This window comes from Homo sapiens, chromosome 5, assembly GCF_000001405.40.
Source record: "Homo sapiens chromosome 5, GRCh38.p14 Primary Assembly".
NCBI classification, from domain to species: domain Eukaryota; kingdom Metazoa; phylum Chordata; class Mammalia; order Primates; family Hominidae; genus Homo; species Homo sapiens.
Genome location: NC_000005.10, coordinates 176879497 through 176901585, shown reverse-complemented (window position 1 = coordinate 176901585; position 22089 = coordinate 176879497). Strand labels below are relative to the sequence as shown.

General features: G+C 54.6%; 2 protein-coding genes across 6 annotated transcripts in view, besides 3 other annotated features; one reads left to right on the top strand and one right to left on the bottom strand.

Moving 5' to 3' along the window:
* Window positions 919–1420: an enhancer, noted in NCBI's record as "H3K27ac hESC enhancer chr5:176327167-176327668 (GRCh37/hg19 assembly coordinates)". NCBI's record gives its function as "activates a minimal SCP1, AML or CMV promoter by ChIP-STARR-seq in primed H9 embryonic stem cells {active_cell/tissue: H9 hESC(primed)}" and the evidence as "EXISTENCE:reporter gene assay evidence [ECO:0000049][PMID:30033119]".
* Window positions 2240–20717, top strand: HK3 (hexokinase 3). Of its 4 annotated transcripts, NM_002115.3 has the most exons (19): window positions 2240–2319; window positions 5401–5522; window positions 10036–10198; window positions 10395–10549; window positions 10645–10764; window positions 10856–10951; window positions 11842–11941; window positions 12022–12205; window positions 12722–12877; window positions 13021–13254; window positions 13840–14135; window positions 14249–14385; window positions 14465–14584; window positions 17452–17547; window positions 17717–17816; window positions 19459–19642; window positions 19739–19894; window positions 20051–20284; window positions 20369–20717. In NM_002115.3, the coding sequence occupies exons 2-19, from the start codon at window positions 5427–5429 to the stop codon at window positions 20511–20513; spliced, it is 2772 nt and encodes a 923-aa protein (NP_002106.2). In that variant the 5' UTR covers window positions 2240–2319; window positions 5401–5426; the 3' UTR covers window positions 20514–20717. The 4 variants fall into 4 exon arrangements, 3 of the variants coding, with proteins under 3 accessions (NP_002106.2, XP_047273090.1, XP_011532842.1); XM_047417134.1 differs by lacking the exon at window positions 20369–20717 and having other exon boundaries at window positions 19836–19894; window positions 20051–20179; XR_941102.3 differs by lacking the exons at window positions 17717–17816; window positions 19459–19642; window positions 19739–19894; window positions 20051–20284; window positions 20369–20717 and adding an exon at window positions 16769–16842 and having other exon boundaries at window positions 17452–17525.
* Window positions 13670–14170: an enhancer, noted in NCBI's record as "H3K4me1 hESC enhancer chr5:176314417-176314917 (GRCh37/hg19 assembly coordinates)". NCBI's record gives its function as "activates a minimal SCP1, AML or CMV promoter by ChIP-STARR-seq in naive H9 embryonic stem cells {active_cell/tissue: H9 hESC(naive)}" and the evidence as "EXISTENCE:reporter gene assay evidence [ECO:0000049][PMID:30033119]".
* UNC5A (unc-5 netrin receptor A) overlaps window positions 20688–22089 on the bottom strand; it is a 70340-nt gene continuing 68938 nt past the window's right edge. For both annotated transcript variants that reach the window (XM_006714928.2, NM_133369.3), the window contains one exon: window positions 20688–21865. In XM_006714928.2, the coding sequence (XP_006714991.1) occupies window positions 21700–21865 (166 nt within the window). In that variant the 3' untranslated portion in view covers window positions 20688–21699. The remainder of the gene's footprint in view (window positions 21866–22089) is intronic.
* Window positions 21266–21631: a silencer, noted in NCBI's record as "fragment chr5:176306956-176307321 (GRCh37/hg19 assembly coordinates)". NCBI's record gives its function as "represses an EF-1alpha promoter that drives an FKBP-Casp9 reporter gene in an ReSE screen in phorbol 12-myristate 13-acetate-treated (for megakaryocytic differentiation) K562 erythroleukemia cells {active_cell/tissue: K562(+PMA)}" and the evidence as "EXISTENCE:reporter gene assay evidence [ECO:0000049][PMID:32094911]".

Here is a 22089-nt window from a genome sequence, read left to right as displayed (position 1 = left end):
TTTTTAATTTTTAGTAGAGACGGGGTTTCACTGTATTGGCCAGGCTGATCATGAATTCCTGACCTCAAGTGATCCGTCCACCTCGGCTTCCCAAAGTGTTGGGATTACAGGCGTGAGCCATCATGCTTGGCCAGCCGTGGACTATTGAGATTGTGGGAGGGCTCTTCAATTTAACAAAAATTAATTGATACTTGTTCCTTGCCAGATAAAGAACTGAGGTCTGAGGCTGCACGGGTGAATAAGAAACATTCTCTGGGAGCCCATAGTACAATGGGGAAGAAGAACACATAAACAGATGCCTTTAATAAACAGATATAAATGCAGTGATACAAGAACATGCATCATAATACGGAACCAATAAGCAGACCACACTCAGCTGGGGTCGGCCAGGAGGAGCTTTTCAGAGAAGGGCTCCTCATTGTCGTTGATGATTATAATTTAAGGGATGAGGAAAAATGAGGTGAAAAGGTGGGAGAGGCCAAAGGGAGGGTCATTCCAGACAAGTCAGTGCAAACAAAGACACAACAGAAGTAGCTCGATGTGTGTAGGAGAGCTGCAAGGCACATTCACGGTATAAAGGGTGTGGAACAAATTGGGGGAGCTTATTGAGGATCTCTGTGCCTGGCATGGGCACTGTGAGTGGTGAGAAGCCTGTGAGCAAGCGCAGAGGGAAGGCCTGACCTCCCAGCCCATCGGCAGTGCTCTGGTTGTGCCCACCTCTCCCCCAGCAAACTGCCTTTCCTCATTCCTTAGCTCCATCTCTACAGTTGGAGATTGGCACTAAGGGGCTATGAGGGAACCTCGTGAGGACTTGTCCTTCCCTTTGTTGGTCAGTGGCCATCTGGTGTCTGAAGAGAACCGCTGGCAGCTGCAGTGCCTCTGCTACAGCCAGGCTGTCCCAGCTGCTCACAGACCTCAAGCTCAGCCATCCTTCTCCCTCCACTGGCCTTGACCCAGACTTTCCCTGGCATTCTGACTAGGGAACCAGGACCCCTGCTCCTGGGGTCTGGACACAGACCTTCCAGAAACGCAGATGAAGAGCCCTGGCCATGCTTGTCAGGGGCATATCCTCACCCTGGCTCAAGAAATGGCAGGCTATCTGCATGAATCACAGCTGGGCCTTTCATAGTCAGTTCCACATTCTCCTCTCCCAACTGAACAAAGTTGAAAGGGACTGGGATCCCAGGCTAGGCAGGATGCTGTGTTGTTTGTGACAGCCACTCTACCCTCTGCCACCCCATCCCCCACTTCCCTGCCTTTCACAGCCTATATGCCTGGTTGGTACCCAGTAAACTTCACAGCAGGACTGATGTTTGGCATGTTTCCTGGCCTCTTCATGCCACTACTGATAGAGGAGCCACTATCTCTGGTCTCCATCCTGATGTCATGTGGAGGCCTACTATCTGTGGATAGAGTTACTGCTGACAAGGCAGCCTGAAGCTTTAAAGTGTATCCATGCCTTCAACAAAGATTGTTGCAGGCTGTCTAGTATTCTACATTGGTGCCCCAAGGTTCTGTGCCTTTGAGGAGAAATTCCCACAGAAAAACAGCTTGTTCGCCAATAGCTCCACAGCAGCCTAACACTCCCCTTCTTCCAGTAGAGAAGACCTAAGATGTGAACCTACTCTCCCTGCGCAGGCTACAGACTAAAGGCTAGACTCCGCAGTCTGCCTGTCACCTCCTCTCCCACTATATATTCCTACCTTGGTGTACCCTCTTCAGGCGCCTGGAGCTGCACCTCATTGCTGTGTGTGTGTGATTTGTGGTTGTGCACATGCTCTCCACTTTGTCAAGGACCACTTTTGTCAGCATACTGCTGTTCTTTCTTCAAGACTCAGCTTCTTCAGCTAGCCCTGCCCACTCTCGGCAGAGTCAGTCCCTTCCGCTTGTGCTCCCACATTGCCTCTTGCTCAAAAGTACTTACCATAACCTTTCCAGGCTAGGCGCCTCCAGCTCCTTCTAGGGGCGAGCCACCACCTCAGAACTCACTATATTTGCAAAATAAACAGCCCTCAGCATTGTAGAGGGAATGGCCCAAAATCTTAGACCCAGTTCAACGCTCCACTTCGCGGTAATCATCTTGCTCAAGTTTTCACCACAGCCTTGCCTAGCCTGGGCTACTCTTAGGGCAGGCTTGGAAGGAAGTGCAGCTTCCTGAATTAGCTGATGTTTGGTAAGTGGTGGTGGAGGAAAAGGGTGGGGCTTGAGGATATTATAACTCGGGTCACCCCTGAGTGTTGCTTTTGGTCATTGGGGTGCCTCATATTGCCAGACAAGAGCTCAGACCTGAGGAGAGTGACTAGCTTCTCTGTGTCCCAGGTAAGCACTTCGGTCTAATTACTGCCTGCTCCTTCCACAGCTGTCTTGTCCTCATCCCTCCTGTTTGGCTCACACCAGGGGAAGTGGACACTGGAAAGATTAAGCCAGCTGGTTCTCTTTCTTTGTTTTTGAGATGGGGTCTCTCTCTCTATCACCCAGACTGGAGTACAGTGGCACAGTCAGGGCTCACTCCAGCCTTGACCTCCTGGGTTCAAGTGATCCTCCCACCTCAGCCTCCGGAGTAGCTGAGACTACAGGCGCACACCACCACACCCAGCTAATTTTTGTTATTTTTTTCTAGCGATGGCGTTTTGCCATGTTGCCCAGGCTAGTCTCACATTCCTGGGCTCAAGCAGTCTGTCTGCCTCAGCCTCCCAAAGTGCTGGGATTACAGGTGCAAGCCACCACACCCAGCCTGCCAGCTGGTTCTCGATGGCAGCTCCCAACATCAGTAGAGGTCCCTGGGGTACTTTTCAGGAGGAAAACTCACTTCGTGTAGCCCATTCAGCTAAGGGAAGCCACGGGGCCCTTAGGCAAACAGACCCTGGGCTCTGGGGATACTGCAGTGAAGGAGACATGTCCCTCCCCACAGGGAATCTCAGTGGGAAGAGACAGAGCTGAATACATTTACCTAGCATATAAATATTAGGGCTACTTGGGGATTGCTTCACAGATTCTGTCATGTAAAAATGCTGAATAAATATTGAATGGATGAGGGAATGAATGAGTGAGTGAATGAATAAATGAACTAGCTGGGCCTTGAGAAAGACACGTGTGTAGCCCTTAGTCCTTTTCGAAGGTAATTGCCCCAGTTACCTCATTTTATCCTTGAAATAGACCTGCAGCATAGAACAAGAATTCCACACCCCTATTTGACAGATTTGGAAACTCAGCATAGGTATGTATGGTTTGGGGAGATTTATCAGAAGCTGATTTGTTGCTTTATTAAATAAAAAACTACCCACTCCCCTTGCTTCCAATTTTGGAAAGGCACATTAGCACATACCTATACCAGACCCTGTGCCGGCCATGAGTGCAGAGGTGATCAAGTTGGGTGGGGTAAGGAGGTGAAGAAACTAGAAGCAGAGCTATCAGTTTAGGAGGCTGTTGTAATAATCAGGCCGGAGGATGGTCTGGTGCAGTGTGTGGGAATGGGGAGGAGGGGATGCAGAGGAGAGCTCTTAGAGAGCCTGAGATCCAATTGCATAGAGGAGGTGAGGGTGAGGGATGCGCGCAGGCAGCCCGAACGGCCGTGTGAGTGAGCACACTTCGATGTCTCCAGTCAAGGTGGAGAACAGAAGAGCTTTGTGGGGGTAAGGTGATGGAAAAATGAGTATGGCTTTGTTGAATTTGAGGAGCTTCTCCACCATCCAGATAGTGATGTCTAACAGACCACTGGGATTTAGGATTTGGCTGAGGCCAAAGGTAGATTTGGGAGCCCTGACACAGCTATTAATGAAACCTTGGGAATGGGCGAGATAAAGGGAGTGTAGAGGGAGGGCATGACCGAAACTTGGGAACCCCATTGTCTGAAGGAACAGAAATTACTGATGAAGACTACGAGAGACTCAGGAAGGAGACCTAGGAGAGACTGGCCGTGAAAGCCAAGGACAGGGGGAATTCTGTAGCAAAGAGAATGACTACTGGCTTTGCATGCCTGAGAGAGGGCAGCAGAGGTGGGGACTGAGGAAAAGGCTTGGGATTGGGCAGTTAGGAGGTCACCAGTGACCACGTGGAGGGCAAATTAGTGAGCATAGTGGGAGTAGGCAAGGAGGGGAGTGTAGGGGTGGGAAGGTACTATATTTCCAGAAGTTCTGCTGTTGCAAGGAAGGGAGGTAAAGTGACTCAGTGGACAGATGTCTCTTCCCATATTGGGCCCTCTGCTGTGTTTCCCTTTTCCCCCACCCCTAAAGAGCACCTGACTCACTGAGGGCTCCCTTGGGACTATGGAAACAGCAATACCACCTCCAGCTCGGATGAGCGAAGTATCTGACATTTCTACAGTTCCTTACAGTGTGCAAAGGACCACTAACTCCTTTAATCCTCACAAGAACTGAGCTTTTCATGTTATAGAGGAAATGGAGAATCATAGAGTTTCAGTTCAGATTCAACTACATAAATCTGAATGCACATCTGAGCAAGTTCCTTTGCTCTCGTGATCTCATTTGCCCCACACAACCCTTTGATACATGTTGGTCCCATTTCACAGATGAAAAGCCTGGAGGTTGAGATGGGGTGCAGCTGCCTTGTGGAGAGCAGGGTTCCCACCTCTGAGTACAGGGCTCTTTCTGCTCTGCATCACTTCACTGTTAAAACCCACCTGATGTTTATGTTGCACACTACATCTCATAAAGCATTTCCCCAGGTGTTATTCTATTTAGTGCTCACAACAACCTTGTGAGGGTAGATATTATTTCCTCCTGTTTTATGGATGGAAGCTGAAATTCAAAGAAGTCATAAATGACGTCCAAGGTCAGGTCACTAGTGGAACCCCTTTCTGAAGCACAGATCCACCCCTGTCCATGACCCCTGTTGCCTTCAGGATGAAATTCATGTGCCTTAGCCTGGCACAATGGCTGTCCCTTTTCCAGCCTGCCTGCTTCTCTGGCAGGTCTTTGGTTCCCTCTTTGTTCCAAGCCTCTAGCATGTCCCTGACCTCCCAACCACAGCAGCATGTCCATCTATTACATGTGGCCATCTTGCTCACTGCCTGTGCTAATCATACTGTGATTGTTGATGAGACTGTGAGGTCCCTGAGGGCAGGGCCTAGGTCTGCTTCATCTGTACCACAACGTCCAGCATAGCAGGCATCAGGAACTGGTGAATGTCAATGAATGACAGAATTAACGAATGGCATTTGGACTGAAATCAGCCTTTCCAGTGCTCTCTCATTAGACATGCTTGTGAAAAACAAGGGCCTTCTGGTTGACTGCTACAGGATCTTTGATGGTTGGAGGTTCTGAATTCTGCTCCCAGCTTCCTTCCTGGTCCCCTTCAGAAGGAAGGAAGTTGGTCTGGGTTACAGACTCCTAGGGCCTATAGAGTAAATGGTTGACCCAGGTTGTCCCTTTTCTCCCATAGGTGGCCACCTTCCACTGTGGAAGCTCATGGACTCCATTGGGTCTTCAGGGTTGCGGCAGGGGGAAGAAACCCTGAGTTGCTCTGAGGAGGGCTTGCCCGGGCCCTCAGACAGCTCAGAGCTGGTAAGTTCAGCACTGGGTTCCTGTTTCATGCTTGTCTAAGGCCTTCAAGAGCAGCGTGACTGAAGCTGCCATGGGGCCCTGGGCTCTCACCCATGCAGCCCCTTTCCACTGAGCTTTTCATATCTGAGCTGGTAACGATCTCCTTTCATGCTCCAAACAACTGCAAGGTTGGGCTGATCATCTTACAGGTGATGAAGAGGGATATAGAGAAGTGTTATGACTTGAGTTTAAGACATGACAGGAGCTTGAGCTGAGGTGTTTCAGCTCCAAACATGTCATTTTTGCCACCTTGCCACACAGGTGCCGCTCCCGCCCCAAGTGGGTGACACAGTCTAGAGTGGACTTTCTCAGGGTTATCTGGTCAAAAGTTGTGTTCTTGAGACCTTTCCTTTCCCGCCTCTCCAGTTCCTCCTGCATGTCTCCCTCAATGTAGCCGCTACAATCAGGCACACAGACGATTTTAGTGCCAAACTCATGCCTGAGGCTTGCTCAGAAGTGAGTTTCTTCTTTTTCTGTCATCTTGACCAAGATTTAGAAGCTGTCTCATACCACACCCTTGAGCAGGAAACTCTTGTGTAAGCCATTTCATATCTCTTAGTCTCTGTTTCCTCATCAGTAAAATGGAGGAAAATAAAGTCTAATCCTCCCCACCCCCTGAAGGCTAATGGAGATAAAGGACTTGCCTATGGCCGGGCGCGGTGGCTCACGCCTGTAATCCCAGCACTTTGGGAGGCCGAGGCAGGTGGATCACCTGAGGTCAAGAGTTCAAGACCAGTCTGGTCAACATGGTGAAACCCCGTCTCTACTAAAAATACAAAATTAGCCGGCATGGTGGCACATGCCTGTAATCCCAGCTACTTGGGAGGCTGAGGCAGGAGAATCGCTCGAACCCGGGAGGCAGAGGTTGCAGTGAGCCAAAATTGTGGCAGTGCACTCCAGCCTGGGCAACAAGAGCAAAACTCCATCTCAAAAAAAAAAAAAAAAAAAGTCCGGGCGCAGTGGCTCAGGCCTGTAATCCCAGCACTTTGGGAGGCCGAGGTGAGCGGACCACAAGGTCAGGAGATCAAGACCATCCTGGCTAACACGGTGAAACCCTGTCTGTACTAAAAAATACAAAAAATTAGCTGGGCATGGTGGCAGGCGCCTGTAGTCCCAGCCACTCGGGAGGCCGAGGCAGGAGAATGGTGTGAACCCGGGAGGCAGAGCTTGCAGTGAGCCAAGATCGTACCACTGCACTCCAGCCTGGGTGACAGAGCGAGACTCTGTCAAAAAAAAAAAAAAAAAAAGGACTTGCATAGAGGAGGTGCCCACTAAAGGGTACTTGAGTCATTCTCTGCAGTTTCTTTAGTTTTCTGGCATATTCTGACATCCACTTGACTAGGCTTGTTGCCCAGATTGTGGAGGCATTACCCCTCGCTGCATTTCATGCTCCCACTTCCCCCTTGTCCAACCTGTACCCCAGACCCTGCTGCAGACAGTTCTTCTGTGCCTGACCCACAGCCGTGCCTCAGGAGTGACAGCGGTGGCTGGGCCACAGTGCCTGCCCAGCCAGGACTGGCTCTAGGGCCTGCTGTCATCTCCTCCCTCGCTTCTTGCCCCTCCCTGATGACACTCCTGTGCAGGCCCACATCTGCCCTGCTGGCTCCATCACATACACCTGCGGTTGAAAGAATCCCTTTCGGCTTTGGGGGACTTCACAGGGACACCAAATTTCCCATGGTCCTGGACCCCCAACTCAGCACCACAGGCCTTACCCTGTGCTCCCCTTGCCATGACCTTAGGTTGAAAAAAGTTAGTTAACCACGTGTGGCCAGTTCCCAGTACCATCTCAGAGGCCCTTCCCCACCCCTTCCACCAGGCTTCTCTTTGTCATCAGAGAGGGTATGGAGTCAGGCTCTCCAGGCTGGGTGTGCTTTGTGCTCTGAGGACAGGGAATCCGTGTTCCACTGAGCATCTCCTATGTGTGACACTGTTCCTCCACTTCAGGTTTGCTGTCGTCTCAGTCCTCATGGCATCTCTGAGAAGTAGGTACTATTGTTCCTGCTAGATAGAGGGGTTGCTTGCTCAGAGAGGTGAGGTGATGGGCCCAGGCCAGCAACACAGCAAGTTGGTGACAAGAGCCAGTGTTGAAACCACATTGGACTTCACATGCTCTCTAATGCCTTTCTCCTTGCTCTTCTGTCTGAGGTCTCTCCCTGCTCTTCCTGGGGTGTCAGGGGTGGCTCCGATAGCTTCTCCTGGCTTGTGTGTGCCTCACCAGGATCTGCCAGGGAAGTCCTTCTGTCTTTCTTGCAGTTCTGCTGTCTTCTAGTCTCTCCTCCCGAACATCTCAATATGCCCAAGAGGAAAAGGAAGAAAAACAATTTGCCCAAGCCATTGACTTCTCCGTGACTCTACTGTTTTCATGAAGCAATACTAAAACGCCCCTCCCATCCCAATGGCACTTGGCACTTCCACATACATTACAGCCTTTAATTCTTATGCCACCACAACCATCCAATCAACAAATCCTGCTTCCAGCTGGTGCTCCTCGTGGCCCTCAGATGTAGCCTTGAGCAAGACATAGTCCCTGGCATTGGGGGACTTCCAAGTACTATTATTTTCTCAGTTTTGCACGAAGAGGTGACTGAGGCTCAGAGAGAGGTGTGACTTTCCCAGGACTGCAGAGCCAGAAAAAGGGAGTGCGAGGACTCAGCTGTAAGTTTTCTCAAGCCGGATCATCTGGGGTTTCTTTCCAGCAACTTTCATCAGCCTTGAGTTCTTTTCAAGGGAACTTTCTAGGTTTTATAAAGCTTCACATTGACATAGAAACATCTCTGCATTCAGGTAGATATGGGTTCAAATTCTCCCCTGCCCCTTCACAGCTGCTTGGCCCTGCAGATGACTTGCCCTCTCGGAGTCTCCGTTTCCATATTTCTAACACTTGGGCAGCTGGGGCTCAGAGGGGCAAGGCTGAGACCCCGCCTGTCCTGCAGCTCTTTGACTTTGCTGCCCACTGCCTGAGTTCCTGGATGTGCAGCCTGTGAGCAAACAGGGTCTGCAGCTTGGCTTCAGCTTCTCTTTCCCTTGTCACCAGATAGGCCTGGTCAGGGTGAGATAGAGTGGGCATGGGCACCCCTAGCAGGCATGGCTGCTGGAAGCATGTGCTGTAAGGCAAACGTGTAAGTGGACATCTGGCACCCCAGTTAGGATGATTCGCCTTCTTAGGGATCTGTTTCCCATTCTCTTCCTAAAGCAAGAGGTGGGACTGAGTTGTCCTTATCTCCCTCAACTGGCAGCTTCTCCTCCCAGCCTCTCCTCCCTGGAGCGGCCTTATTATCCAGGTGCCTGAGTTGTTATTCCAAAGATAAGTGTCCAGTTTGGGGCAATAGGTCATTGAAATGGAACTCCTGTGTGACAGGAAGTGGGGGCTTTGGAAAGTCTGAGCCTGAGGAGGATGGAGTTGCCAGGCTGTGACCCTTCAATGAATCCAGGGAGGCTGTTGGGGCTTCTTTGAAGGATGGGTGAGAGAGTCATCTAGGGGAGGGTATTTGCTCACAGGGATGAGGTCCCTGGGGCTCTTAAGCTACTGGGCTTCTGGTGGAGTGACAGCCTGGGGTGTCCTGGCTTCTGCCTTCCCTGCCTTCTCACCTGCCCCTTCAGACTCCGATCCACTCCCGGATCAGTCTTCTCCAAATCCATCCCCTTGCTCTTCCCCTGGATCTTCGAATGGCTTGTTCCCTTCCTTCATTTAGATCACCTCCTCAGGGAAACCCTCTTGAACTCATATCTAAAAATACCTCTTTCTACCCTGGTCACTCTCTAATTTCTTATCCTGCCCCCCTACGTTTAATAGCCACCATCACTACTGGAACCAAATTGTATGTTCACGTGCTTAATTTCTGTCTCCCACCCTGGAATCTAAAGCATTTGTTGCTTCTTGGGTGGTTATGTGTGTGCGGTGCTTAGAATACAGCTGGGTGCATAGTGAGGGCTGGAGCAATGTTTTGGGAAGGATGACTGACTGAAAAAAGGACCATCCTCTGCAGTGTGGTCTCCAAATGCTCTCGTGCTGGGCTTTTTCAGGCTTCAGAGTCTGAGAGTGGATTAGGAGAGGGAAACACTTGAAGTTTGTTCGTGCATTTGTTTATTCTCTTGTTCGTTCAACAACAACTCACTGAGAGACTCTTGCTGTGGGTCCTGGGGAGCCAGAGAGCAATCATTAGTGGTATGGCAGGAAGAAGGTCTTGCCAAACCCTGAATTCAAAGAAGAGGAGGGGTAGGGTAGAGGATGTAAGAAATTGAGAAGGAGCCGTGAGGTAATGGGGCAGGAGGAGGAAGAAGGTGGGTTCTCTTTCCAGGACAGAGCCTTCTGAGGATGCCAGAGCTGGGTGCAGGCTGTTGGCAAGAGAGTCAGGGTGTATGAAGAGCCGAGGAGTGGGCTGGGCAGGGCAGGCCTCTGCCTTGTTTGGAGGTGGGGAGTCTGGCCAGCCCAATGGTGCTCCTTCCCAGATGTTGGCCTGTTTCTCCCCAGGTGCAGGAGTGCCTGCAGCAGTTCAAGGTGACAAGGGCACAGCTACAGCAGATCCAAGCCAGCCTCTTGGGTTCCATGGAGCAGGCGCTGAGGGGACAGGCCAGCCCTGCCCCTGCGGTCCGGATGCTGCCTACATACGTGGGGTCCACCCCACATGGCACTGGTGGGTATCATAGATTGAGATGCGTGGCCAGGCCTGGAAGAGGGTACTGATCTAGGGGAGGGAAACGTTCCTTATTCCTGTCCCCCATCTCTATGGCCCCTTGACCAGACTTTGCAGGCCTTAGGAATTTGGGAAGTGGGCAGAGGGCTCTGGTCTTGCCAGCTGCATGGCTTTCTGTGACCTGCTTGCCCTCCAGAGCAAGGAGACTTCGTGGTGCTGGAGCTGGGGGCCACAGGGGCCTCACTGCGTGTTTTGTGGGTGACTCTAACTGGCATTGAGGGGCATAGGGTGGAGCCCAGAAGCCAGGAGTTTGTGATCCCCCAAGAGGTGATGCTGGGTGCTGGCCAGCAGGTAAGCACTCACTGCCCAGCCTCTGGGGTCTGGGGGCCTGGCTGGGTGGCTAGGGCTCAGATGGGCAAGGCTGAGCCCCCCCACTTCTCCTGCAGCTCTTTGACTTTGCTGCCCACTGCCTGTCTGAGTTCCTGGATGCGCAGCCTGTGAACAAACAGGGTCTGCAGCTTGGCTTCAGCTTCTCTTTCCCTTGTCACCAGACGGGCTTGGACAGGGTGAGGTGGAGTGGACATGGGACGCTGGGTAGAGGGTGGCTGCAGCCCCATGAAGGCCGTCAGAGGAGTAACCCAGCTTCTCTACCTCCAGAGCACCCTCATTTCCTGGACCAAAGGTTTTAGGTGCAGTGGTGTGGAAGGCCAGGATGTGGTCCAGCTGCTGAGAGATGCCATTCGGAGGCAGGGGGTGAGTGGAGGGAGGGGTGACAGGAGGGCTGCCCATGTTGGCCTGGGCCTGGCACACATGCGTTGGGTCTGGGCTTCTGAGAGAGTTGCTTTCCTCTTCTCTTCATGTCCTCCATCCAGTTTAACCTCCATCCAGTTTAACCTATACATGGTACATGTTGCTACCATTCCCATTGTATAGGTTAAAAAACACTGAGGCTAAGAAAGGTCAAATAAACATTCAGGACCTGGGGCAAAAAAACATGAATAGACTTTGACCTCCTCCTCAAGGTTTTCACAGTCTAGATGGGGAAGCATTCTAATAAAAGATTGTCCGTGTCAAGGAGGAGTGCGTGGACAACTCTGGGAGCACTACGGAGGAAGCACTGGCTCTTTGATCAGGGGCTTGAAGGAGGAGTTTGCCTCCCTTCAAGTCAGGCTGGGGCTGGGGCGGATGATCTAGTCTCAGAGAAGGCCACACACAAGAGTCTGGATGCTGGACAAAGGCTGATCCGTCTGGGCTAACCTCTTGTGGTGAGAAGCCAGTGCTGGGAGGAACAGGCTTGGGGAGCCAGGCAGGATGACAGTGAGGCTGGCAAGGCGCAGAGTTCAAGGAGGTGCTCAGTCTCAGGAAACTCATCCTGGTCCTGGGAGATGGTGAGGGTGGACGTCACTGTGACCTGGGGGCGCAAGTTGGGGGTTAGGGAGGAGCTGAGGGTGGGATTGGAGGAAAAGTTCCTATAAGGTGGGAGCCCAGAGCATCTGTGGCACAAATGTGTGTGGCATGCAGACATGTGTTTCATGGACTCTATGTATCTCCTTCAAAGCCAGGGCCCCAGCCCTGCCCATCCCCTGGATTCCCTCCTCTGGCCACTCAGGCCAGCCTTGACCTCTGCCCTCTTCATCATCTAGGCCTACAACATCGACGTGGTTGCTGTGGTGAACGACACAGTGGGCACCATGATGGGCTGTGAGCCGGGGGTCAGGCCGTGTGAGGTTGGGCTAGTTGTAGGTGAGCCATGGACCATTTGTGATGACAGGTGGAGGGTGTGCTGCCTGGCTAGCAGGCCTTGACAGGGTTGTCTCTGCCAGACACGGGCACCAACGCGTGTTACATGGAGGAGGCACGGCATGTGGCAGTGCTGGACGAAGACCGGGGCCGCGTCTGCGTCAGCGTCGAGTGGGGCTCCTTCAGCGATGATGGGGCGCTGGGACCAGTGCTGACCACCTTCGACCATACCCTGGACCATGAGTCCCTGAATCCTGGTGCTCAGAGGTGACCTGGCAGGGGGCCCTGACCTTTGGTTCCAGGCCCTGTCTATGACTGCTCTGCTCCCAACCCCTTCTGTCCCTGTTCTCAGGCCCTTAGGCCCCTCCCTGTCACTCTGAGGGTCTCCAGGGAGCAACCTGGGGGCCCTGGCCAGGTTCAAAGAAGGAAGGGCCCAAAGTTCTAGAATCCAGAATTGTCAACCCTTGATCTTCCCTGTTCCTGACTCTGGCCTGCCCTGACAGTTTGGGGGTTGAGGGCTGGAAGTGGTTGAGCAAACTGCTCTCTGCCTTCCTTTGGGTCCTTCTTGTTCTCCAGGAGGCTTCTGAATGTAACCTATGTCAGAGGGGGCAGTGGGGTCTGGGCATACACCCACCTGTCCTCTGGGAGGCTATTCGTTGCTTCTGGAGTCTCCAGTTTGGGAGCCCCAAAGAAAAGAATCCTTCTTTGGGAACTCTTGGAGGTAGGGCCAGGTGGACTGAGGGCTTAGAAAAGGCTTCCTCCAGCCACCCTTCCCCCCTGCAGGTTTGAGAAGATGATCGGAGGCCTGTACCTGGGTGAGCTGGTGCGGCTGGTGCTGGCTCACTTGGCCCGGTGTGGGGTCCTCTTTGGTGGCTGCACCTCCCCTGCCCTGCTGAGCCAAGGCAGCATCCTCCTGGAACACGTGGCTGAGATGGAGGAGTGAGTCGGGGAGATGGTGGTTTAGTGGGGGATTCTTGGCTTGGAGGAAGGGGATGATACTCTGTTCCCAAGGTAGCCATGGGGCTTTAGTGGGATGGGGAGCTTCTGGGCTGAGCCCCAAACCACTTCCCTTTCCCCTCCAGCCCCTCTACTGGGGCAGCCCGTGTCCATGCTATCCTGCAGGACTTGGGCCTGAGCCCTGGGGCTTCGGATGTTGAGCTTGTGCAGCACGTCTGTGCGGCCGTGTGCACGCGGGCTGCCCAGCTCTGTGCTGCCGCCCTGGCCGCTGTTCTCTCCTGCCTCCAGCACAGCCGGGAGCAACAAACACTCCAGGTTGCTGTGGCCACCGGAGGCCGAGTGTGTGAGCGGCACCCCAGGTATTGTGGAAACGTGATCCGCATGATTAGTTGGCATGAACACGTGTGTGTGATACACACCCAGAGGGCCCTCTGGGATCACATGTGCAAGCCAGTGGACACGAAGGGCACTTAGGCAGAGGGAGGGCCAGACTGAGCTATGGGAGGCCAGAAGACATCCAAGGAGAGAAACGATGCTTCCCTTTGTGTGTGCAAGGGTGGAGGCCATGGCGACACGGGGGCGTATGGCTGGTGCACAGAACAGATTTCAAATTGAAGTGATAGGGGAGGCTGGCTATGGTGGTACACGCCTGTAATCTCAACACTGGGAGGCTGAGGTGGGAGGATCATTGGAGCCTGGGAGTTTGAGGTTACAGTAAGCCATGATCACTCCGTGGCACTCTAGCTTGGGTGAGAGAGCAAGACTCGATATCTACAAAAATAAAAAAAAAAAAGTGATGGGGCCTTGGGCTTCAGGAGGCCCTAGGGGTCTGGGGCCAAGCTGGGCACACCTGTATGTATCTGGGGGTCCAGGGCCAAGCCGTGCACACCTGTGTGTGTCTGGGGGTCCAGGGCCAAGCCGGGTGCACCTGTATGTATCTGTAGGTTCTGCAGCGTCCTGCAGGGGACAGTGATGCTCCTGGCCCCGGAATGCGATGTCTCCTTAATCCCCTCTGTGGATGGTGGTGGCCGGGGAGTGGCGATGGTGACTGCCGTGGCTGCCCGTCTGGCTGCCCACCGGCGCCTGCTGGAGGAGACCCTGGCCCCATTCCGGTTGAACCATGATCAACTGGCTGCGGTTCAGGCACAGATGCGGAAGGCCATGGCCAAGGGGCTCCGAGGGGAGGCCTCCTCCCTTCGCATGCTGCCCACTTTCGTCCGGGCCACCCCTGACGGCAGCGGTAAGGACCTGGCCTGAGTGTGGGACCGAAACATGGGCTCCTGGGGGTCCCAGTGTGTGCTGGGGCTGGAGCCACAAGCCCTATCCCGGCACTGAGGGTCTCTGCCCCCACAGAGCGAGGGGATTTCCTGGCCCTGGACCTCGGGGGCACGAACTTCCGTGTCCTCCTGGTACGTGTGACCACAGGCGTGCAGATCACCAGCGAGATCTACTCCATTCCCGAGACTGTGGCCCAGGGTTCTGGGCAGCAGGTACCCACAGCCTGAACCTTGATGTCAGAGGTGGGGAAGGGCTGAGCAGTGCCTACGCCTGACCTGTCCTGCCCCACAGCTCTTTGACCACATCGTGGACTGCATCGTGGACTTCCAGCAGAAGCAGGGCCTGAGCGGGCAGAGCCTCCCACTGGGTTTTACCTTCTCCTTCCCATGTAGGCAGCTTGGCCTAGACCAGGTGAGGGAGGGCCAAGAGAAGTGATTCCCAAGGGCCTCCTGCCCCCACATACCCTTCATGGAGTGGGCAGGAGGCAGGGGAAAAGGCTGGGCGGTGGCGGGTCTGGGGTTGGTGGTGGTGGCAGCACTGCTGGGCTGGGCTTGCACACAGCCTCAGTTTCCCCAGACAGGGTAGGCCCAGGGTTAGGGTCTGAACCATTTGGGAGCAGGTCAGGCCTAGACTGGGGCTGATCAGAGGACAGATCGTCCATTTTAGCTATAGCACTGGTGTGTGGGCCTCAGGGTCCTGCAGGAACCAGCATTTGTTCCTGTCTCTAGCAGGGGCTTGAGGTCGCTTGGGGTTTTTTTGGCCTCTCTCCTCCTCCTTTCTTTGTTTCCTTCTCAGTGCCTGGCTCAGTGTTGGGTGCATGACTAGGGTGGCAGAGTGCCAGGCACAGGCTAAGACACACATCCCTACTCAGCACACACTTTAGCTTGTTCTTACACAAGGATGAGGGACTTCTCAATGTGCACACCGGAAGCCTGTCACGGAAACAATACCTCCCGGGCCTCTGGTCCAAACTCCCAGGAATCTCCCTTTCAACATACCCAACTTCTGCTTGAAAGCCTCTTGCCAAGGAGCTCACTGCCCCTGAAGGCAACAGTTGCATTCTTAGACACCTGTGATCAATGAAAAGCTTCATCTCACCTACTCCAACCAGCCTCCATGTGATTTTCACCCCCTGCTCCTGCTCTGACCTCTCTCTGATATGCAACTCATTTTTTTTTTTGAGATGAAGTCTCACTCTGTCGCCCAGGTTGGAGTGCAATGGCATGATCTTGGCTCACTCACTGCAGCCTCCACCTCCTGTGTTCAAGCAATCCTCCTGCCTCAGCCTCCCAAGTAGCTGGGACTACAGGCACATGCCAACACGCCCAGCTCATTTTTAGTAGAGATGGGGTTTCACCATGTTGGCCAGGCTGATCTAGAAATCCTGATCTCAGGTGATCCGCTCACCTCAGCCTCTCAAAGTTCTGGGATTACAGGCGTGAGCCACCGCACTCCACCTGATATGCAACTCTGTACTCTGCTTTCTTTTACACGGTGGTCCTTTGGATGGTGCAGTGGGCCAGTCTTGCTGCTTGGCTGCTCTGCTCCAGGCTAAGCCTGCTCAGTCCTTTTGATTATTCCTTGTAAGATGTGAGAAGCAGGTGAGACTCCATGTGCAAATCGGGGGGCGGGGTGGGGGCAAGAAATATAGTCTTATTAATTTTCTGTAACTGAACTTAATTTCTGTGCTGAAGGCTGGGCGCGGTGGCTCACGCTTGTAATCCCAGCACTTTGAGAGTCTGAGACGGGTGAATCATGAGATCAGGATTTCAAGACCAGCCTGGCCAAGATGCTGAAACCCCATCTCTACTAAAAATACAAAAATTAGCCGGGCGTGGCAGTGTGTGCCTGTAATTCCAGCTACTCGGGAGGCTGAGGCAGGAGAATCACTTGAACCCGGGAGGCAGAGGTTGCAGTGAGCTGAGATTGTGCCATTGCACTCCAGCCTGGGCAACAGAGCAAGACTCCATCTTAAAAAAAAAATGTTGGGCCCACATTATTTTCAGGGGTGAAAACTTAACCAGTGTGGGGATTGCCTTCCCCAGGAGCCCCTTTGGCTCTGCAGCAGCCTTTGCTGTGCAGAATTTGCAGGGATGTGGGAACTCAGGGAGGTGCCCCGGGCCCTGCTCTTTGGGCACTTGCCTCTGCCACTTCCTCTCTTGAGTCTCGACACCTTCCTGTGCATTATCTGGGGAAGGAGGGCAGAGGCCTCCTCTGTTCTCAGATTTCTCAGATCCCTTCTGAACAGGGGTTCAGCCCAGTGGGGAGGGCATAGGACACCTGTCTCAGGAAGTCATCAGCAACCTGGGTCTGACTTCCCCCTTTGCCTCCCCTTCCCCACTCTAGGGAGAGCAGCCCACACAGGGCTCTTACTCATCATCTGGTCTCTCTCAAACGGGTTCTTTCTCTCACTCTATCACATTCTCTGCTTTCTGTTTTTGAGACAATGAGCCTAGGACAATAAAAAACGGGATAAAAGGACATATTATTGGAGGAAAACGTTGCTTACTATTTCTAAAATCTTCTGCCCCAAAGATTTCCTGACCTACCCTCCATGCTCCTCCTCTGAGCAAAGCAGTAATTTTCTCCCAACAGCTGTAGACTAATTCCTGCTCCCCCTGCCCCCTCCCTCAGAGGACGCACACTAAGAAAACAGCATTCCTTTCCAGGTAAAGTTGAGCCCCGTGTCACTAAGTTTAAGTCCCTTTTCTCACAATCTGGGCACTCAGCCTTCATCCTGCCCAGGGGCCTGGGTTCTGGCTTTTCCATTCCTCCTGCCCCTGCATTTGGAACACATGAGTGACTCGCCCATTGACACGGCTCTATCCCTGAAGCTGAGAATTCCTTCCTCTAGAGTAACTTGGAGTTCTTTCTGAAAGGGTGGGATCTGCTGTCATCTGGGCCTCTGAGCCTTCTCTGTCCTCCCCTGTCTCACACACAGCACTCACTTTACCAGCTCTGTTAATTCCTAACCCAATTACAAAGGGCCATTCCTTCCGGGCACACGTCTTAAAATGGCCAGACCCTCTGACTGTCTGGAACTAATAATGGAAAATGTAGGTTAGATGGTTATTAATAGGTTTTTGCACACCGAAAGCCTCCTGGGGAGTAGGGAGCGGGCAGAGGGCAAGGCCTTCAACCATACAGCAAAGTAGGCAAGGAATTGTGCTTGGGGAGGGTGGAAAGCCTAGGCTTGTGATGGATGCAGGTTTTGCAGAGGCAGAGTGAGCCTGAAGGGGCCTCCAGCTTCCTGCCACTTCCTCTCGGTCTCACCCCAGGGCATCCTCCTGAACTGGACCAAGGGTTTCAAGGCATCAGACTGCGAGGGCCAAGATGTCGTGAGTCTGTTGCGGGAAGCCATCACTCGCAGACAGGTAGGAGCCTGTTCTAGGGGTGCTTTGGGGCTGTGGCAGGCCTTGAGGGGAGCAAAGAGTCTCCTACTTTCTGAGGGGGGAGCCCTCTGCGGTAGAGACCTCTGGGTCCAGTGCTGGTTGCTGTGACGACCGCGTTGCCCAGCAACTAGCAGCATCCTTTTGTGTGCAGGCAGTGGAGCTGAATGTGGTTGCCATTGTCAATGACACGGTGGGGACCATGATGTCCTGTGGCTATGAGGACCCCCGTTGCGAGATAGGCCTCATTGTCGGTGAGGAGGGCCCTGCCCTTTCATGCCCCTACTGCTTGGCAATTTGCTGCCTTCTGTTGATTCCTCTGGTTGGATGTTTCCTTGGCGGTGGGGATGTGGGATTGCTCTGGTCTGACCCAGTAGGGCTCTGGAACAATCTCTTGGGCTGGCAGTTTGGAGCTTGGGTGTATAGTCCAGCTCAGTGACTGACTCATGGTCATTTAAGCTCTCTGAACTTCACTTTGCCCATCTGATAAATGAATCTGAGCTTTGGAGTTGTACAGATTTGGGTGGAAATACTAGCTTTGTGTTTCCACCTGTATGACCTTGGGCAAGTCACCAGAGCCTCAGTTTCCTCATCTCTAAGATGGAGATAAGAGTAACAATGCCTGTCTCAAGGCATCATGAGGATGAAATGGGAGGGGACAAAATACAGCATGGTCCCTGGCTCATGGTACACACCTGGTGTTTGGAGCTGGGCGGGGGCAGGGGACCAATGAGCAATGAGGGTCCTTCAGACAGTCCAAGATTCCATCCTTATTAAGCACCTACCCTGTGTCCACAGGGGACTGGACAGAGGAATAGGAAGACACATAAAACAAGAGGCAATTTCTGCCTTCTCAGAACCGACCACTCAGCAAGGGTTAAGCCCAGAACAACACGTAGCGGTCAGAGAGTGACTTGATTCTACACGTGGGCAGCAGCGAGGCCAAGATCAGGAAGGAGTGGGTCCCAGGATGAGTGGAACTTGAAAGCCCTGAAAGAAAGGATTTGGCTCTGTTGGGGAGGAGGGATCCCACAGCTCCTGGGGCATTGGTCTCTCAACACGAGGCATGTGGCAGCCTCTCTTGAGGGGGAGGTTTTTGAACCCAGCACCTGGCACGGTTAGGCACTTGGGAGAGGCATGCCCAGGTTGCTGTGTGCATAAACAGCTGGACAGAGGAGCTCCAGGTGGGGCCAGCAAGGAGCCCACCTTCCTGGAGCTGAAGCTGTGTCAGAGAAAGGAAGGAGACGCCCTCATCCAGGGTGCGTCCTCTGCCTGGAATGCCTTTTTCTTTCTGTGCTTCTTGGATTCAGTCACTTCCTCTCTGTTGCTTTCCTGATCCTGTTGGCAGAGACTCGCCCCGTGGTCTGGGCTCCCACGATGCTCTCCTTGGTGCTTCCACGGGGGCACAGAGGCTCTGTCAGAGCTGGCTATTCATTGCCTGACCTCTGGCCAGACTGTGGGGCTCCTCGTCTCTGATTTCTCTGTGTCCCCTGCTCTTGGCCCAGCACCTCTTAGTTGGATTAAGGGCCTGGCAGGCCGGTCCAGGGAGCTTCGGCCTCTCAACCGCAGAGAGCTAGGGGCGAGGGCGGGGGATGTCACATGTCTCCCAGGGGAATGACAGGACAGCTGGGCATTGTAGGAGCACTTGGGGGTGGCATGGTGGATGCACTGATGGTGATGTTGGTGGGAAAGGCAGTGAAGGTCCCCAGGGCTTGGAGCTGGCAGGGTCTGCACGAGGGATGTCGGGAAGGAAGAAGGACCAGGACCAGGGACAGGCTGTGAGCATGAGAGGTAGAGAGAGTGAGCCCGAATCGTTGCCATCTCGGTATGGGAAGTGCTCAGAGGGTCCTTGTCTACATCAGTAAGTAGCTTCCACGTTGTCTGGCCTCTCTGCAGGAACCGGCACCAATGCCTGCTACATGGAGGAGCTCCGGAATGTGGCGGGCGTGCCTGGGGACTCAGGCCGCATGTGCATCAACATGGAGTGGGGCGCCTTTGGGGACGATGGCTCTCTGGCCATGCTCAGCACCCGCTTTGATGCAAGTGTGGACCAGGCGTCCATCAACCCCGGCAAGCAGAGGTGTGGGCTGGGCCCAGGCAGTGGTGGCTGGCTGTGACCGGTGCTGGGGATGGTGGCTGGTGGGGCCTTCTGCCGAGTGCACACATGTTCATGCAGGTTTGAAAAGATGATCAGCGGCATGTACCTGGGGGAGATCGTCCGCCACATCCTTTTACATTTAACCAGCCTTGGCGTTCTCTTCCGGGGCCAGCAGATCCAGCGCCTTCAGACCAGGGACATCTTCAAGACCAAGTTCCTCTCTGAGATCGAAAGGTGCCTGAGGCCTACATTGCCTCCCCCACTTCAGGGGGTCTTTCTGTCCACTGTGGGGGATTGCTGGCCATGGGTGGTGACGAGGTCTGCTCTGGAGGATGAAGTGGGAGAAGTCACGACCCACCTCCCTGTGCTCTCTTCCTTCCTGGCCCCCAGTGACAGCCTGGCCCTGCGGCAGGTCCGAGCCATCCTAGAGGATCTGGGGCTACCCCTGACCTCAGATGACGCCCTGATGGTGCTAGAGGTGTGCCAGGCTGTGTCCCAGAGGGCTGCCCAGCTCTGTGGGGCGGGTGTAGCTGCCGTGGTGGAGAAGATCCGGGAGAACCGGGGCCTGGAAGAGCTGGCAGTGTCTGTGGGGGTGGATGGAACGCTCTACAAGCTGCACCCGCGGTGAGTCTGGGTGTGCGGGCTGGGGAGGGAGGTGTGGCCAGGTGGGGCTGGTGGCCTGGGCTCACCTCAGCCCTCCTCTCACAGCTTCTCCAGCCTGGTGGCGGCCACAGTGCGGGAGCTGGCCCCTCGCTGTGTGGTCACGTTCCTGCAGTCAGAGGATGGGTCCGGCAAAGGTGCGGCCCTGGTCACCGCTGTTGCCTGCCGCCTTGCGCAGTTGACTCGTGTCTGAGGAAACCTCCAGGCTGAGGAGGTCTCCGCCGCAGCCTTGCTGGAGCCGGGTCGGGGTCTGCCTGTTTCCCAGCCAGGCCCAGCCACCCAGGACTCCTGGGACATCCCATGTGTGACCCCTCTGCGGCCATTTGGCCTTGCTCCCTGGCTTTCCCTGAGAGAAGTAGCACTCAGGTTAGCAATATATATATATAATTTATTTACATTCACGCCCGATAAAACCCCTATGTGCCCCGGCGGCCGGGCAAGGCTGTGTACATAAGGCCAAGAGTAAGTGCGTGAATGCACTTAAGACAAAGTCAGGACACGAGCTTCACATGACAGGCCCCGCGTGGGGCACCAGCCAGCCCTGGGGACGGGCACGCCACGCCACACACACACTCACCACTGTACAGCCTGGGACTCCCATTGCATATTCACAGGCCCCGCCGGGCAGGGCACCTCAAGGCTGGGGGAGGGGCAGGGGCAGGGAGGAGCCGTGGGGTGTCCCTGGGTGGGTGGAGAGGGCAGCATGTGAGAGGCAAATGTGCACCAACACTGGGCGTGAGACGTGAGCAGCCTCAGGTGTACAGCATGAGATGTGTGTGGTTGGGGGGTGTCTGCGTGACCCGGGAGGGGGGTGTGTGTGAGATGAGCACACGAGGCATGCGTGGCACGTGCTCGTGTGGTGGTCGTGTGCCTGAATCCAGGGGCTACCCCCTGTCCGGCTGTGGCCCTCGGTCCTGCAGGCTTGGAGCAGGGCCCCTCAGACGTGCCCCTACCCAGCAGGCACAGAAATGTTTGCATAAGGTCCAGCTCAGGCAGGAGCTCTGGGGCCCTGGCCCAGGCCCAGTGTGTGCGTGCATGGCCGTGTGTATGCGGGGCCCCTGGAGAGGGACGGGAGGAGAGGTAGCATCACACGCACATACACACACACAGATGGGCTGGGCCTGGCCCAGGCTCCAGGCACTGTCCCTCCTGGGCCCTGGGGCCGAGTGTGAGTGGCAGTGCCAGCCTGGCTAGGCAGGCCATGGAGAGGTGGGAGTTCGGGCAGGGTCTGAAGGACCAGCATTAAGGGACAGCTTCGGCCGGGAGGGGGCCTGTCCGAGCAGCTCTCCCCGGTGTGGGGAAGGGCCCCTGTCCGGCTTCTGCCTGTCCTTGGTGGGTGCCAAAGCTGGTGAGAGTGTAGGTGTCGGGCCTGGCCGGCCTCAGCACTCAGCCTCCGACACTGTGAAGAGGCCAGCGTCTGGCTGGCCCAGTCCAGCCACTGCTGCAGCCAGCTGGCTGAGGTTGCCGTTGGGGAAGTGCCGCGCCTCCCACAGGTTGAGGATCATGGCTGTGGGGCTGGGCTTGGAGGCAAAGAAGCTGAGATGGCTGTGGAGGGGAGGGGGGCCGTCAGCAGCCTGGCCTGGCCCCAGCCGACACCTCCTGCCCCCCCTGGCCCACCCCAGGGCAGGGCCTCCCCGAAGCCAAACACAATGACTGCCCCGGCCACTAGTAGATGCGGCACAGGCCCCACAGGGCCTCCTGTCCACCTCACCCACCCCGCCGCCGGGCAGGACTGTCGGTGGCCTGCGCAGGCCCTCTCTGCCCCTCTC

Coding starts and splice junctions, on each gene's coding strand:
- HK3 (NM_002115.3), top strand. CDS start 5,427: ATGGACTCCATTGGGTCTTCAGGGTTGCGGCAGGGGGAAGAAACCCTG. Junction 12,206..12,721: donor CTGAATCCTGGTGCTCAGAG/GTGACCTGGCAG, acceptor TCCCCCCTGCAG/GTTTGAGAAGATGATCGGAG. Junction 14,585..17,451: donor GGCAGCTTGGCCTAGACCAG/GTGAGGGAGGGC, acceptor GTCTCACCCCAG/GGCATCCTCCTGAACTGGAC.